Source organism: Homo sapiens, chromosome 22, assembly GCF_000001405.40.
Source record: "Homo sapiens chromosome 22, GRCh38.p14 Primary Assembly".
Taxonomy (NCBI): domain Eukaryota; kingdom Metazoa; phylum Chordata; class Mammalia; order Primates; family Hominidae; genus Homo; species Homo sapiens.
The window spans coordinates 43,854,793-43,871,737 of NC_000022.11; the positions used below are offsets into that span (position 1 = coordinate 43,854,793).

Sequence of the window (16,945 nt, forward strand, 5' to 3'; positions counted from 1 at the left end):
AGAGGAACCCCTTTCCTGGCTTCTTCCCCCCTTGCCTTCTGAGACCACCTCCCACCTGACTAGCGGAGGCCCACTCTCTAGTACGAAAGCACACCCGCTCACATGCCTGGGCAGGCCCTGAGAGAGGCGACAGTCATGAGGACTCTGGATCTGAGAGGCCTGATTTGGAAACCAGCTCGGCTGCCTCCAGACGACGGGACACTGGACAAGATCTGCCCCTCTATGTGGGTTCCTCATCTGGAAGGTGAGGACAGTGATGAACTCAATGTAATTCCCCACAGAGCACCCTCCAGGCATCAGCAGCAGCGACGATGGTGCGGACAGTCACAGTGGACGAGGCACTGACCCCACTCATGACCCCGGGGCTGGCACCACCCAAAGCCAGGCCCATTGGAAGGAGGTGGCAGCGCAGGGAGATGCCACCTGCAGAGTTGGGCTGGCCTAGGCCAGTTTCTTCTCAGGGTCTTGGTTCCTTACCCAAAAAATGGCCTATTTCATGGCAAAGTTGTGAGGATGGGGAGGATAAAACAAAGTACTTGGCACAAAGACAGGAAACCCGCTTTCCTCCCTGGTTGTTCTGAGGCTTGAGCAGGACAAATGCCAACCACCTAGTCCAATGCCCCTGCCGCTGGTGGGGTCAACAGGTCCCAGGAGAGTCTGGCTCATTTCAAGCTGAGCCAAGTCCTGAAGCCCAAGCCAGGGCCTCTGGCTCACCAGCCCCCACAAAATGACTGGTTTAGCTTCCAGAAAATGCCAGCAAGTCTCCAAAGCATGCTTTAGGGAGGCTTCCACCTCTCAATGGGCCCTCCACTCTCCTCTCGCTCCCTCCAGAAGCCCACGCTAGGAGCCCGCTCCCTGCTAACCATAACACAGTCACACTGTGCAACATCCTGTCCCACATCCCAGGAGCTACAGACATGCCCACCACCTGATCTAGTGGTCGGAGATCAGGAGGGACCACTAGGGCCACTTCCCCCTAGATGCAGGACACTGGAAAGAGCTGCCCCCACACTAACAGGGAGAGGTCAGATAAAATACAAGATCCTAGTTTCACTCAACCAAGATGGGCCCTTCCACAGAGTGGCAGGAGGCAAGCACCAGCTCACTTGAGACAGGGCCCTGGAGGAAGAGAAGCCAGCCCATGCAGGTGGCGAGAGGAATTCAGGTAAAATGTTTCCATGCTGGTAAAAGCCAAGGGTGAGCCCATGTGACAGCACAGAACCTCTGAAGCCAGAGAAGCCAGAGAATCTCACACTGAGCAGAGTTCACACCCAAACACAGGCTCTTCTCCAGACCTAGGCCAGGTGCTCAGGAGAAAGAGTTGGGGGCAGCATGCTTTGGAGAGAGCCTTCCTCAGTATCATGGCTGTAGGAAAAGAAAAACATCCTACTTGTACCCTTCTCCCTTACAGAAAAAAGGCTTTAAGTCACTGAGAGAGGGGCAGCAAACCGTGTCACCTCCCAGGGCACTGGTGAAGACCCAATGTGGCTGGAGATGGGCAAAAGGAAAAACCAAGACTCTGCCCTTGGGGGAGGGGCAGGAAACTGTCCCTGGGCCCTGACTACTAGAGATTCTCAGTGCTACAGAAGGGACATGAAACTCCTGCACAAGAGTTACCATCCAGGCAGTTTGGCTGCCACTCAGAGGAGGGCAGGATCAATGAAAAAGCCCTACCCAGACCCAGCAACATGGAGCCTGCAGAAGACTGCAGCTAGACAACACAACAGAGAACCCCAAACCCTCCCTACCAAGCTACTAAACCAAAGTAACAGATAACAGCAGAGTCGATCACTGGCACAGGGGCAAGAGTGTGCAGACAAAACTCCTCCAAGGTTCAGACCTACGAGGAAGACCAAAAGGTGGAGGTGGAGCAGGAACACTGAGAAAAAACCTCTGGAAACTCAGCCCCTCCACTGAACGCAAGCTAACACTACAATAATATGAAACCAGTGGTCACTCAAGGTAATCAGATCAACACCCGAACCCAAACCAGACCAACGAGGCGGGGTTAACTCAATTCCTTATACTAATGGCCTAGCAGTTGAAAAGCCGGCCTCATTTGCAAGCATAAATATGGCTGACCTTAGTCTCTACTATCTAATATGCTGTGTTGAGCAGTCAAAAGGTACTATTCACAAAAAAGGCACACGCGCACACACACAAACAAAACTGTCAAGAGACAAAGCAATCAACAGAATTAGACTCATGGAATTTTTAAGAAGTCTGATTAACATGTTAAAGGTTCCCAAGGAAAAGATGGACAACACACATGAATAGATGGGATTATTTCAGCAGAGAAATGGAAACTCTAAGTGGAAATGCTAGAGGGAAAAAAACATAACAGAAACATTGAATGCTTCTGACAGCTCATCAGCAGACTTGACACAGCAGAAGAAAGGAGCAGTTAGCCACAGATCGGTCCACAGAGATTACCCAAACTGGAACAAAAAGAGAAAAAGAAAGAAGCCAGGTGCAGCAGTATGCCTGCAGACCCAGCTACTCAGGAGGCTGAGGAAAGAGGACTGCTTAAGCCCAGGAATTCTAGGCCAGTCTGAGCAGCACAGTGAGATCCTGTCTCAAAAAAAAAAAAAAAAAAAAAGGAAAGAAAAAAGAGGGAAGAAAACAGAAAACAGAATACAACATCCAAGAGCTGGAGGACAACATCAAACAATCTAACATATATGTAATTGGAATCTCAAAGGAAGAAAGAATGAGGTAAAAGAAACATTTTCTAAGATAATGGCTGAGAATTTTTCCAAAATAATGAAAAGCATCAAACCACAGATCCAAGAGGCTTAGAGGAATCCCAAGTAGAATAATTAACACACACATACAAAAACCCTAGACATACCATATTCAAAGTGCTGAAAATCAAAGACAAAGAGAAAACATTGAAGGCAGCCAGAGGAAAACAGGCACATTACCCAGTGGAAAAAAGAACAAGCCAACATTTCAGCAGAAGCTAAACAAGCCAAGGCCTGGCATAGCAGCTCACGCCTGTAATCTCAGCACTTTGGGAGGCCGAGGTAAGAGGATCATTTGAGCCCATGAGTCCAAGACCAGCCTAGGCAACATGGTGAGACCCTATCTCTACAAAAATACAAAAAATTAGCCAGGTGTGGTGGCGCACACCTGCAGTCCTAGCTACTTGGGAGGCTGAGGCAGGAGGATTGCTTGAGCCCAGGAGGTGGAGGCTGCAGTGAGCCATGATTGCATCACTGCACTCCAGCCTGGGCAATAGAGTAAGATCCTGTCTCAAAAAAAAAAAAAAAAAAGGAAAGAAAGAAAAAAAAAGAAAGAAAGAAAAGAAACTATGGCCAAGCACTGTGACTCACACCTGTAATCCCAGTACTTTGGGAGGCCAAGGCAAAAGAAACTATGGCCAGCCATGGTGGCTCACACCCATAATCCCAGGACTTTGGGAGGCCAAGGCAGGAGGATTATTTAAGCCCAGGAGTTCAAACCAACTACAAGTTCAACCAGGGCCAACTACTCAGGAGGCTGTGCTCCCAGCAGCCCCATCTCCTTCTTCCTCCAGAAGTCATTCTGCAGGCTTTTGCCTCCCAGCCCGGTTGAGTGATGGGGAGAAACGTGACCCCCGCAGACCCAGGACACTTGCTTTGGCAGCCCCTTCCCCAGGTCAAGCCTCCTGAGTATGTGTAACAGCCGGAAGACAAAGGGGAAGGGATGAGGGAGCAAGAGGAGAAAGATGGGGAAAGAGGAACTTCTCAGTTCTTCTGGTACAAAACCACACGTTCCATTCTTCAGGCCTCTGCATTCCCTCATAGGACGCAGGTAACTCACCACACTGCTGTGGAACACTTTGTTACCCTGTGTGGTAAAGCTCAAAGGGCTCCGCATGCTCCCTCATCTCAGAACAAACTGGTAACCCAGGAAGCGCTGGCAGGTGCTAGCTCCCACCCCCACGCCTCTCTTACCCCCTCCTGTGGGTGGTTTCTCTCCAGGATCTACACTCGGTGCTGCCACTACCCCAGCCCTTTGTCCTCCCTAGGCCCTCATTTTCACATCTATAAAAAGGAAATAATCACAAGAGCACAGGGCCGTCCTGAGAATCAAAGTGGGTGGAGGGCAAAACAGCATCTGTAATGGGTAATCCACCCAACCTGTCTCCTCCTCCATGCAGTCTCCCGAGATCCTCCTCTTCAGAACCCTCATTACCAGGCCATTTACCTGACCCTGAGAACAGCCACCCTGGCTTGTCAGTTAACTTTTCAGTGTTAGGATTCTGGCTTCCCCCATGTCACTGCAAGTGCCACAAGGTCACCATCACCTCATGCCCAGCCCTTCTGAAACCTGTCTCTCCCAGGCACAGTGACATACACACCAAGAAAACTAGGACATCCATCTAGCCTGGGACCTGCACACCATGAGTCTCCCCTCAGCTTCAGCTCCCCTCAGCTTCAACCCCTGAGTTGTCTGAAAATGTAAGACTTAAATGAATCAATCTGGTCAAATCCTCTCATTTTTAATGAGCAAACTGAGGTTCAAAGAAACCAGGTGGCTCACCCACGCCCAGGCCCAGAAGCTTCCGTCTGCATCAGTGAGAATGCGCACACACTTCAGGACTGGCCGGAACCAGGGGCAAAATAAACTCAGGGCAGTGGGTGCTCTGGCTGAGCCAGGGACCGTATTTCAAAGCCCAAGCTCCATGACTTTGGGGCTGTGCCCCCTCGGGGACGAGCACCCAATTCAAATCAACCTGTTGACAAAACCAGTGGCAGTGATTGCATCAAACCAACACACAGGGACAAAATATTTTCACAGACACAATCGGATTTAATACAACCACCGTCCCAGGACCAACTACGCTGTAAGAATGAATAGGAACAAAGTCGGTCATCAACAGAAAGGTCCTTCTCAGAAGACACAATGGGCTCCTACTGTCTGGATCACGGTTTTACCTGGCGCTGTGCAGCAGAACTTTCAGCTGTGATGGGAACACTCCATATCTGCGCCACCCAATACGGCAGCCGCTAGCCCCATGTGGCTACTGAGCACCTGAAACATGGTGATGCTACTGAGGAACAGAATTTCCACTTTTATTTCATTTTAATTCATTAGATGTAAGCAGCCGCCTGTGGGCAGAGGGTCCTACGCTGGAGAGCACAGTCCTAACCCGCCATCTAAGCTAGAATGTCGCAAGCACAAAAAGAATCCGAGCAAGCAGCACGGGGTTGTGGGAAAAAATACCGGACAGGAAGCGAAGGCAGGATCTAATTATCATTGCCTTAGCCACCAGAAAGCCCCCACCACCCCTTTGAACCCCAGTTTCTCCATCAGCAGAGGGTGGGAAGGGGCTGACAAGGGACCAGGCCCTTCCGGCTCTGACCACCTGCAAGTTCATTAGGATCTCCTACACCTGGGCACTGGAAATCCAAGGAGGCCCGTGGGTTCCCTGCCATGGCAGGTGAATGGGGCACCTGTTAGTCCTGGCTACTTGCCCCAACCCCAGCACCAACCATGTCTCCCCCATCAGACTGAGAGCTCACTAAGGACAGGCACCAGATGGGGCCCTCTCGGCTTCCCCAGCCCCTAGCAAAGCATCTGGGCACAACAGGTGTTCAGGGCTTAAAAGTCAGCATTAACCACGAGCCTTTCCAGCGTGTGTCTGGACGTGGGCTAAGCGTTCTCACCCGCCATTTTGCTCATCCTCACAGCCACACATCAGCGGGCCGAGGTGGTCTCTTCTCCCTCCGCAGAGACCACAGCTCAATGGGATTCTATGATCTGCCCAGGGTCACTCTGCTGGTAAGCCGCAAAACTGCATTCAAACCCAGGACTTCCAACTCCGAAGCCAGGTTCTTAATGTGTAAGCACTGATGCCTGCTACAAATCCATCCCCAGTAGCAGATGGAAGGAAAGGAAAAGAAAATATGAACTGGGCTACCAGAAGTCCACTTGGAGGGGCCTCAGAGAAGTGACACAAACCTCAAAATCCCTAAGTGGCTGAGACTTCCAGCATTTTAAAGCCTCCAAGAAAGAAGGCTAGGTCCCCCTCCTTCTTGGGCCCTCACGGTTTTCCAAGGGCAACGGAGCACCCATAAGGCAGGGGAGAGGCTGGCCGTGGACCGGGAGACCTAGCTAGACCTGACCTCTGTCCCTCAGCAACTGTGTGACTCCGAACAATTTGTGCCTTCTCTGAGCCTCTGAAAAAAAGGTGTAAGAGTCCCTCACAGATTAACAGCGATAGAGCACTTGGCCCGCAGGACTTAATGAGTGGCCACAGAAGCCAACGACACGCTTAGCCATTCCTAAAGCATTTTAGGTCCCACCCCATGCGGCGACTGGCATGTGCTCAAGATAGCAGCCCATCGAACGCTCTGTTCTCCAACCAACACCCTCCACTGAGAGTCCCTACTCCAATCTTCCTCAGAAGAATGTCAGAGACCTGCCCTCAGGTGTCTGGAACTCCATACAGCTACAACAGCCAAGCCTACAGCTTTTCCTGAAACTGCCCGACTGCTGGTCCGGCGTGACCTTAGAGCCAGACACCTTCTAAACCACGCTGTGATTGCCTCAAATACAGTGGCAACAAGGAAATCCCAGGGCATGTTTACAGAACAGGAAAGCTGCTACCTCCTTTCCCTAAAAACCTCAGATGGGGTACTATACAATCTCCTACCTCAGGTCTGGAAACAGACCAGCCTAGCTTTAATTCCCAGGTCAGCCACTCACCAGCTGAGTGACCTTGGACCAGCCTCTTCCCCTCTCTGAGCCTCTGTGCCTAGACTGTAAAGTGGGAATGACCACCACTAGCTCACACAGCTGTTATTGTGAAAGTGACGTCAGCTAATGCTGGGAAATGTGAATGCCCCAGGTCCTGCCTCGGTGATGGAGGCAGCCCTGAAACAAGAGAATGTACAAGCAAGGCACTCCAGGCGGGGACTGGTCCCATCCCCCACCCGGAGCCCAGGCTGGAAAGGAGGGACGTTACGTTTCCACGCTGAAAGCCCTGACGCCCATGTTATCTCCCTTCCCAGGTGAACACCAGGACTTTGCACTCATCAAAGGTTGGGCAGGATTCAGGAACAGAGAGGTTGAGTGACCTGTCCAAGGTCACACAGCCAGCCAGGTAAAGGGAGAAGCAGGGATGGGTGGCGGCCCTGGGCCCATCCTCCTGCAGCGCCGGCCAAATAGGCTCCATCTCCACGGAAGGGGCCGCTCCCGAAGGTCTCTGACCTTGGTTTCCCCAGATGAGAACCAAGCCCCTTCCCACCCCCACCCCACCCCACCCCGCCCCGCAGGGATCCGAGCATCGGGAGAGCGGTGGGCACGGCAGGGGCGGAGGCCAAGGGCGACCACCCGGCCCAGCAGAAGCCCCGGGCGCGGGCGCGGCGTCTACGCGGCCGCGCTGCAGGGCTGGGGCATGGCGTGGCGGGCGCGGTCGGCGCGGGGCTCACCGGACTTGGGGTAGGTGACGATCCACACGTCGCTGGGCCGCACCGGGAAGTTGGCGATCTCCTCCATCTTCCCGCGGCAGAAGGGCGGCAGCCGCACGCCATGGAACTCGAAGTACTTGCTCTCGAACTCCCCCGGGGTGCTGGGGGTCTCGGCCTCGCTCTCCGCCATGCCGCCGCCGTCGCCGTCGCCGCCGCCGCCTCCCGGCTCGCAGCCCGCACGCGCCCGCGCCCGCGCCCGCGCCCGCGCCCCGCACACGCTCGCGCCCCACCGGCGCGCGGCGGCAGCTCCGCAGGCGTGACGTCATGGCGCCGCCGACGCGCGGCGGAGGCTCCGCGGGTATGACGTCATGGCGCCGCCCGGCACGCGGCCGCGGCGCTGCACGGGCGTGACGTCATGGCGCCGCGGAGCCGCGTCCTCCCCGCCCCGCCCCCGGCCGGGGTCACCCACCCGCTGCCGGGGCTGACAGAGACCCTGGCCCGCGGTCTGCAGCCTCCTCAGTCGTGCGTGCGTTCATTCCGCTCATAGCTTCTGTCACTCAGCAAGCGCTCAACACAGACGCATGAGATACCCTGGCTGGAAGGCCCTGAAAGGTAGTCGTCCATTCAACACGTGCTTAGCGCGCTGCTGATCTGTGCCAGGCACTGGGCCAGGGCCCCGACACGCGTCAGGGTAGAAGCAAGCAGAAGCCTGGCCCTGTTGGAGCTTACATTGGTAAATAACCAAGATAATTTCAGGTAAATATTAGGTCCTATTAAAAATATGCGTCTTCGCCAGGCGCGGTGGATCACGCCTGTAATCTCAGCACTTTGAGAGGTCGAGCACGGGCGGATCTCCTGAGGTCAAGAGTTCGAGACCAACCTGGGTAAATGGTGAAACCGCATCTCTACAAACATACAAAAAAAAAAATTAGCAGTGAGCTGTGAGCTTGCACCACTGCACTCCAGTCTGGGCAACAGGACGAGATCTTCTAACAACAACAAAAAAAAAGTATGGGCCACCTAGTCCAGCCAAAAAAACAAAGTGCTTTTTTTTTGCTTTTTTTTTTTTTTTTTTTTTTTTGAGATGGAGTCTCGCTGTGTCGCCCAGGCTGGAGTGCAGGGGCGCGATCTCAGCTCACTGCAAGCTCCACCTCCCGGGTTTACGCCATTCTCCTGGCTCAGCCTCCCGAGTAGCTGGGACTACAGGCACATGCCACCATGCCTGGCTAATTTTTTGTATTTTTTGTTTGTTTGTTTTAGTAGAGACGGGGTTTCATCGTGTTAGCCAGGATGGTCTCAATCTCCTGACCTCGTGATCTGCCCACCTTGGCCTCCCAAAGTGCTGGGATTACAGGTGTGAACCACCTCGCCCAGCCAAAAAGTGCTTCTTAATATCCCATGAGTAGGGGAGGGGAGTGTTGGATTGCAAATTCCAGGACCCCAGATCTATGGAGAAAAATTACAAAAATATACATTTAGTAAGGCACTTCTTGTGCAAACTATAATTTGAGAGCAACCGAGTTCTAGAGATCTCAGTGCAACCCCTTGCCAGTCATGCACTCAACAGACATATATGAAGCACCTACTAACATGCCTGGGGAAGCACAAAGATGAAAACAACACAGCCTGCTCTCATTCTCTGCAGCCGAGCATCATCAGCTGTGTAAAGGAAAAGAATGATTCCTACCTCTAAGTAGTGTAGCCAGGAAGATGGAAGGAGTTTACACCAACAAGAATCTGGAGCAGAGTGGCTGGACGGGACCTATTCCTACTCTCTCCTTCTTACTGTAGAGTGAGACACGTGCATTCTGACACCAAAGACATACACATGGGCTGAGAAGCGCAGGCCATGTGTACATAGCAGACAGAGAGAGGAAACAGCAATTAATCCTGACTTGGGAAGCTTGTAGATGTCTTTCCAAAAAAGAAAGAGGACATTCCGAGCACCCAGCCTTTATTCAGAATAATTAGGCCAATGGCAAAAGGGCATCTAGCCAAAAGCTAGAGGGATTGAGTGAATGAATGAATATCCTGATGTTTCAGGTGAGGGTTCTCACTGTGGGAGAAGGAAAATGTAAGTGGGGAATGCGAGAAGGCAGGGAAGAACTCTATGGTATTGGATTGGAATTGGAGGTATTGACATGAGTTTATGATATTTTAAAATTCCTATTTCTTATATTTGCTGGAAAAGCCTTTAGGCAGTGATATCTCAATAATACTAGGCATACCCACTGCCCAGATCTTTGCTAAATACTTCCCTCACCAAATGAACCTGGGGTTTCTTGGAGAAAAAGCCAACTCCAGGGCAAGGAAAGTACAAGATGAGCCTAAAATGTCTTGTTGAGTCTTGAACTCCTGCAAGTTCAAAAATGTTGGGAATAGGTCAGAAGGACACAGGGTATAACATGAAAGTATTATCATAGGTCAAATCGGAAACAATTTGAGCATGTTAGACAAAAATGGGAAAAAACCCACGTACCCAACAGTAGAATAGATAAATTGCGATATATTCATACAATGGAATACAGTAATTTTTTTAAAAAAGGAATGTAACTGAGAAGAATGTCACAGTCAAAATGATGAACAAACTAAGTCAAGCACAAAAAATGGTATGTCATATGATTCTATTTATATACAGTCAAAACCAAGCAAAACTGATCTATAGTGATAGAGGTGAGAATAGTCTTAACCTGGGGCATTGGAAAGAGGGTTGACTGGGAGCAGACTCAAGGTTACCTACCCTCCATAGTGTTGGAAACATCATAGCTTGCTCTTAGTGGCGGTTACATGAAGATATAGACATAGATAAAAGTACAGACATGGACATAGATGCAGGCCTTGCTTCACGGATACGCAACCAGGGGAGTCACACAGGGTTCTGTGCTCAGAAGGGCCCCACACTTTGGAATTTAATGGTCTGTGGTCACTATCTTGAAATTGTTGCATTTATCTTTGGGTTTGTTTTGTAAGTGAGGTCTGGTCAAAATTAGCTGGGAGTGGTGACACGCACCATAATCCCAGCTACTCAGGAGGCTGAGGCAGGAGGATTGCTTGAACCTGGGAGATGGAAGTTTCAGTGGGCTGAGATTGCACCACTGCACTCCAGCCTGGGTGACAGAAAAAGACTCCGTCTGAAAAAAAAAAGCCATAATGGACATTAATGAGATAATTTGCAATATTTGAATATAGACTCTAGATTAGATGATATTCTATTTTAAATTTCCTAAATTTGAAAACTGCACTGTGGTTATGTAAAAATGTCCATTTGCCTCAGAGGTACATGTGGAAGTATTTGGGGGTGAAGAATCATGATGTCTGCCACTTACTTTCAAATGGTTTTACAAAAATAAAACCACAATTATAACCCTAATGCAAGCACATGTATGTATACACATTGAGAGCGAGAAAGAAAATGTGGGAAAAGCCACAATTGGTGAATGTAGGTGATGATATATGTTCATTATGTAGTCATTTTCTATTTTGCTATAATGAATTACCACAAACTCAGCTCTGTAAGTCAGAAGTCTGATGCTGGTACCACTAGACCAAAAGGAAGGTGTCAGCAGGGCTAGCATTCCTTTCTGGAGGATCCAGGGGAGAACCTATTTCCTTGCTTTCTTTAGCTTCTAGAAGCCACCCACATTCTCTAGCTCATGGTCTCTTTCCATCTTCAAAATGGCAGACACAGTCTTTCTCACATCGTATCACTCTTTTTGTTTACTTGTTTATTTGAGACAAAGTTTCACTCTTGTTGCCCAGGCTGGAGTACAGTGGCACGATCTCGGATCACTGCAACCTCCGCCTCCCAGGTTCAAGCAATTCTCCTGCCTCAGCCTCCTGAGTAGCTGGGATTATAGGCATGCACTACCACGCCCGACTAATTTTGTATTTTTATTAGAGACAGGGTTTCTCCATGTTGGTGCAGCTGGTCTTGAACTCCCGACCTCAGTTGATCCACCTGCCTCGAACTCCCGAAGTGCTGGGATTACAGGCATGACCCACTGCGCTTGGCCATATCGCTCTTACATTGACTCTTCTTCTGTCTCCGTCCTCCACTTTTAAGGACCCTTGTGATTACATTGTACCCACCCAATAATCCAAGATAATCTCCCTATTTTAAGATCAGCTGATCAGCAACCTTAATTTCATCTACAACCTTAGTTTGACTTTGACATATAATATAACATATTCACAGGCTCCCAGGACTGGAATGTGGACATCTTTGGAGGACTGTTATTCTGCCTACCGCAATTGCAGTAAACTTTTCTATACATTTAACTTTTTTTCAGAATAGAAACCTAAAGAAAAACCTTTATTAACAGAAAATCCCTAGGAATTTGCAAAAAGGCTGCTAGAACTAATAAGTGAGTTTAGCAAGGTCATAGGATACAAGGCCAACAAATAAAAACAATCCTATTTATACATACTAGCAACCAACAATTGGGAATTGCAGTTTCAAAAATACCATTTTTAATAGCATTGAAAACTATTAAATACTTATAATATATGTAGGAAAATATGCACAAGATTTGTGTAGCAAAACCTACAAAACATGAGTGAGAGAAATGTTTTAAAACTTAAAGAAATGGAGAATTATACCCTGTTAATGGATTCAGCATTGTTAAGGTGCCCATTCTGCCCATTCTCACTTTTTTTTGTTTGTTTGTTTGAGACAGAGTCTCACTCTGTCGCCCAGGCTGGAGTGCAGTGGCGCGATCTTGGCTCACTGCAACCTCTGCCTCCTGGGTTCAAGCAATTCTCCTGCCTCAGCCTGCTGACTAGCTGGGATTACAGGCATGCATCACCATGCCCGGCTCATTTTTTTGTATTGTTTTTAGTAGAGACAGGGTTTCACCATGCTGGCCAGGCTAGTCTCAAACTCCTGACCTCGTGATCTGCCTGCCTCAGCCTCCCAAAGTGCTGGGATTACAAGCGTGAGCCACCGTGCCTGGCCTCCTCACATTTATCTATAGAGTCAGTGCAATTCCAGGTAAAATCCCACTGGACTCTGCTGTTGAAATTGACAAGCTGACTCTAAAATTTATATAGAAAAATAGGCCAGGCGCGGTGGCTCACGCCTGTAATCCCAGCACTTTGGGAGGCCAAGGCGGGCGGATCATGAGATCAGGAGATCGAGACCATCCTGGCTAAGACGGTGAAACCCCGTCTCTACTAAAAATACAAAAAATTAGCCGGGCACGGTGGCGGGTGCCTGTAGTCCCAGCTACTGGGGAGGCTGAGACAAGAGAATGGCGTGAACCCGGGAGGTGGAGATTGCAGTGAGCCGAGATTGTGCCACTGCACTCCAGCCTGGGCGACAGAGCGAGACTCCATCTCAAAATAAATAAATAAATAAATAAATAAATAAGAAGAAAAAGAACCTAGAATGGGCAAAATAATTTTTAAAAAGAATAGCAAAGTTTGAGGGCTCACACTACCTGATTTAAAGACTTATTATAAAGCTACTTACCTTAACACTGTAAATCAAAACAATATGTAACTGACATAAGCATAAACATGTAAATAAATGGAACAGAATAGAAAGCTCAAAAATATACCCAAACATCTATGACCAATTGTTTTTTGACAAGATATCCTTAAAGAGCAGAAAGCAGTAACTTCTCATGAGCCGAAAATGTCCATCAAGGCCTGAGCCTTTGAATAGAGAAAACCTCACCGCTGCATAAGAAGGGGCATAAGAAGGGGCTGGATAGCACTTTGTCCTGAAGAGGCTCTTCTTCAGTAAGCTTAATCTAGCAGATCTCCAAATCTCAGCCCTCTGATACCCATTCCCAAGGCTGCTGAGACAGCAGGGAAGGCAGGTCGCTGTCCGCGGTGCTGAACGCACAGCTTCCCCTTTATCCCCCTGCCCTTCCATCCTGGCACGCTGGGTGACCACAACTCCCGACGCCCCTGATTTTCCTTTGTTATGTTCTGTCTTGGGGCATCTTTTCCTATTTCTATGTGCTATCTTCTTCTTAATAGGAGAAAAGGCATACAAATTTAATGTGCATACACGGGAGCCTTCAGAATGAAGGCCCAGCTTCCCCATGAGTTACAGAATCTTACATACCATTTTGAGGTTACAGAAAGAACAGGAGCTTAGATTCTAGTAAAACAGATTATAAGAGGGGAAAAGAAGCTGGACTAGCAAAGATGTCCTTGTTATGTGGATGAAGCCTCCCTTGGAGAGAATAGATGGTAAAGGGTGTGAGAGTCCCAATCGCTCTTGGGTCTGGGGAAAGAATAGAAAGGTGGGGGAGGGGAAGGGCCTGGCAGCATGCATGAGATTCTCTACAGATGCAAATTTCCCCACTTAAGGCAGCTTTGCAAGGCCACTTCTGTCAAGATGACCAAGTGGCAGCCATTTCAAAATATGTCAAAGAAATATATTTTGATGTGAAATATTTTAATTTCCTTCAATTCCCCGCTTTGAAACTTCAAACAAGTTTCACATATCAAAAGCCAAGCCAGGATGGCTGCAGTGGCTCACACCTGTAATCACAGCACTTTGGGAGGCTGAGGTGGGAGGCTCACTTGAGCCCAGGAGTTCGAGACCAGCTTGGGCAACACAGCAAAACCCCATCTTTTTCAAAATAGAAAAAATTGACCAGATGTGGTGGCACACACATGCCCAGCTACTCAGGAGGCTGAGACAGGAGGATTGCTTGAGCCTGGGAGGTCAAAGCTGCAGTGAGCCAAGATCATGCCCCCTGCACTCCAGCCTGGGTGACAGAAAACAAACAAACAAACAAACAAACAAAAAACCCAAGCTGATGGCTTTGGAGAAATTTGGGTTAGAGGTTGTTAGATTGAGATAGAGAAAAGGGGAGAAAAGACAAATTGGATAAATAGGTGCAAATTGAAATGTATCATCCCATATTGTCAGAGGCATTCAAACCAGCGTGACTCCTTTTTGAACAGAGGCTGGGTAAAATAATGCTGAGACCTACTGGGCTGCATTCCCAGGGGGCTAGGCATTCTTAGTCACAGAATGAGATAGTAGGTCAGAACAAGGTACGGGTCACAAAGACCTTGCTGATGAAACAGGATGCAGTAAAGAATCTGGCCCTTGAGGCTGGGCGTGGTGGCTCATGCCTGTAATCCTAGCACTTTGGGAGACCAAGGCGGGTGGATCACTTGAGGTCAGGAATTTGAGACCAGCCTGGCCAACATAATGAAACCCCAACTCTACTAAAAATACAAAAACTTAGCCGGGTGTTGTGGCACACGCCTGTAATCCCAGCTACATGGGAGGCTGAGGCACCAGAATAGCTTGAACCTGGGAGGCAGAGGTTGTAGTGAGCCAAGAGCATGCCACTGCACTCCAGCCTGGGCAACAGAGTGAGATTCATCTCAATTTAAAAAAATAAAAAATAAAAAAGGCCGGGCGCAGTGGCTCTTGCCTGTAATCCCAGGACTTTGGGTGGCCAAGGAGGATAGATTGTCTGAGGTCAGGAGTTTGAGACCAGTCTGACCAACATGGCGAAACCCCGTCTCTACTAAAAATACAAAACTTAGCCAGATGTAGTGTGTGCCTGTAATCCCATGATTATATATATATATATATATATATATATATATATATATATATATATATATATATGATGGGAAGCAGTGGTCGGGCATGCCTCATTATATCCTACCCCCTTTTGGAATCACAGATAGAAAATATTCTTTTTTTAACGTTTCTAGTAGCTTTATTCATAACAGCAAAAACTGGAAACAAAGTATTGATATATTCATTCACTGAGCGAATGGTTAAACAAACTATGGTACATCCATACTATGGAATACTATTCAGCGGTAAAAAAGGAATGAACGATTGATAAATGCAACAACCTGGATGAATCTCCAGAGAATCATGCTGAATGTAAAAAGATAAGCCCCAAAGATTACATACTATATTATTCCATTTATATAGTATTCTTGAAATAACAAAATTACAAAAATGGAGAATAGACAAGTGTTTGTTATGGGTTAAGGAGAGGGTGGGAGCAGAAGGGAAATGAGTGTGCCTATGAAAGGAAAACATAAGGGACCCTTCCATGTGAATTGATCTATCAATGCCAGTATCTTGGTTGTGATACTGGACTATAGTTTTTTTAAATGTTTTATTTCCATAGGTAACTGGGGAACAGGTGGTGTTTGGTTACACGAGTAAGTTCTTTAGTGGTGATTTGTGAGATTTTGGTGCACCCATCACCTGAGCAGTGTACACTGCACCCAATTTGTAGTCTTTTATCCCTCACCCCCTTAGAACCCTTTCCCCCTGAGTCCCCAAAGTCCATTGTGTCATTCTTATGCCTTTGCATCCTCATAGCTTAGCTCTCATTTATGAGTGAGAACATATAATATTTGGTTTTCCATTTCTGAGTTACTTCACTTAGAATATAGCCTCCAATCGGCGGAGCTTTCAGTGAGCCGAGATTGCGCCACTGCCCTCCAGCCTGGGTGACAGAGCGAGACTCTGTCTCAAAAAAAAAAAACAAAAGAATATAGCCTCCAATCTTACCCAGATTGCTGCAAGTACTGCAAATACCGTCAATTCATTTCTTTTTTATGGCTGATGGCTGAGTAGCATTCCATCATATATATACACCACAGTTTCTTTATCCACTCATTGATTGATGGACATTTGGGTTGGTTCCACATTTTTGCAATTGAGAACTGTGCTGCTACAAACATGCATGTGAAGTATCTTTTTCATATAATGACTTTTTTTCCTCTGGGTAGACACCCAGTAGCGGGATTGCTAGATGAAATGGTAGTTCTACTTTTAGTTCTTTAAGGACTCTCCACACTGTTTTCCACAGTGGTTGTACTAGTTAACATTCCCACCAGCTGTGTAGAAGGGTTCCCTGTTCACCACATCCATGCCAACATCTATTATTTTTTGATTTTTTGATTATGGCCATTCTTGCAGGAGTAAGGTGCTATTGCATTGTCGTTTCGATTTGCATTTCCCTGATCATTAGTGATGATGAACATTTTTTCATATGTTTGTTGGCCATTTGTATATCTTCTTTTGAGATTTGTCTATTCACGTCCTTAGCCCACTTTTTGATGAGATTTTTTTTTTCTTGCTAATTTGTTTGCATTCATTGTAGATTCTGGATACTATTCTTTGTCAGATGAGTAGATTGGGAAGATTTTCTCCCACTCTGTGGGTTGTCTGTTTACTCTGCTCACTGTTGCTTTTGCCATGCAAAAAGCTCTTTAATTTAAGTCCGAGCTATTTATCTTTGTTTTTATCGTTTTTTCGCTTTTAGGTTCTTGGTCATGAAACCCTTGCCTAAGCCAATGTCTAGAAGGGTCTGTCTGATGTTATCTTCTAGAATTTTTATAGTTTCAGGTCTTAGATTTAAGTCTTTGATCGATCTTGAGTTGATTTTTGTATAAGGTGAGAGATCCAGTTTCATTCTCCTACATGTGTCTTGCCAATTATCCCAGCACCACTGTTGAATAGGGTGTCCTTTCCCCACCTTATGTTTTTGTTTGCTTTGTCAAAGATCGGTTGGCTGTAAGTATTTGGGTTTATTTCT

At 47.8% G+C, this 16,945-nt stretch overlaps 1 protein-coding gene across 6 annotated transcripts in view, besides 2 other annotated features; it reads right to left on the minus strand.

The window, feature by feature from the left end:
- Positions 1 to 7,721, minus strand: part of SULT4A1 (sulfotransferase family 4A member 1) — a 38,005-nt gene extending 30,284 nt beyond the window's left edge. For all 6 annotated transcript variants that reach the window (XR_937839.4, XM_011530121.2, NM_014351.4 and 3 more), the window contains exon 1: positions 7,422 to 7,721. Coding sequence is in view for 5 of the 6 variants with exons in the window: in XM_011530121.2 (XP_011528423.1) it covers positions 7,422 to 7,590 (169 nt within the window). In the remaining variant the exon portion in view is untranslated. The remainder of the gene's footprint in view (positions 1 to 7,421) is intronic.
- Positions 5,537 to 6,036: an enhancer, noted in NCBI's record as "H3K4me1 hESC enhancer chr22:44256209-44256708 (GRCh37/hg19 assembly coordinates)". NCBI's record gives its function as "activates a minimal SCP1, AML or CMV promoter by ChIP-STARR-seq in naive H9 embryonic stem cells {active_cell/tissue: H9 hESC(naive)}" and the evidence as "EXISTENCE:reporter gene assay evidence [ECO:0000049][PMID:30033119]".
- Positions 13,057 to 13,351: a silencer, noted in NCBI's record as "tiled region #15126; HepG2 Repressive non-DNase unmatched - State 10:DNaseD, and K562 Repressive non-DNase unmatched - State 10:DNaseD". NCBI's record gives its function as "represses a minimal TATA promoter and a strong SV40 promoter by Sharpr-MPRA in HepG2 and K562 cells {active_cell/tissue: HepG2 | K562}" and the evidence as "EXISTENCE:reporter gene assay evidence [ECO:0000049][PMID:27701403]".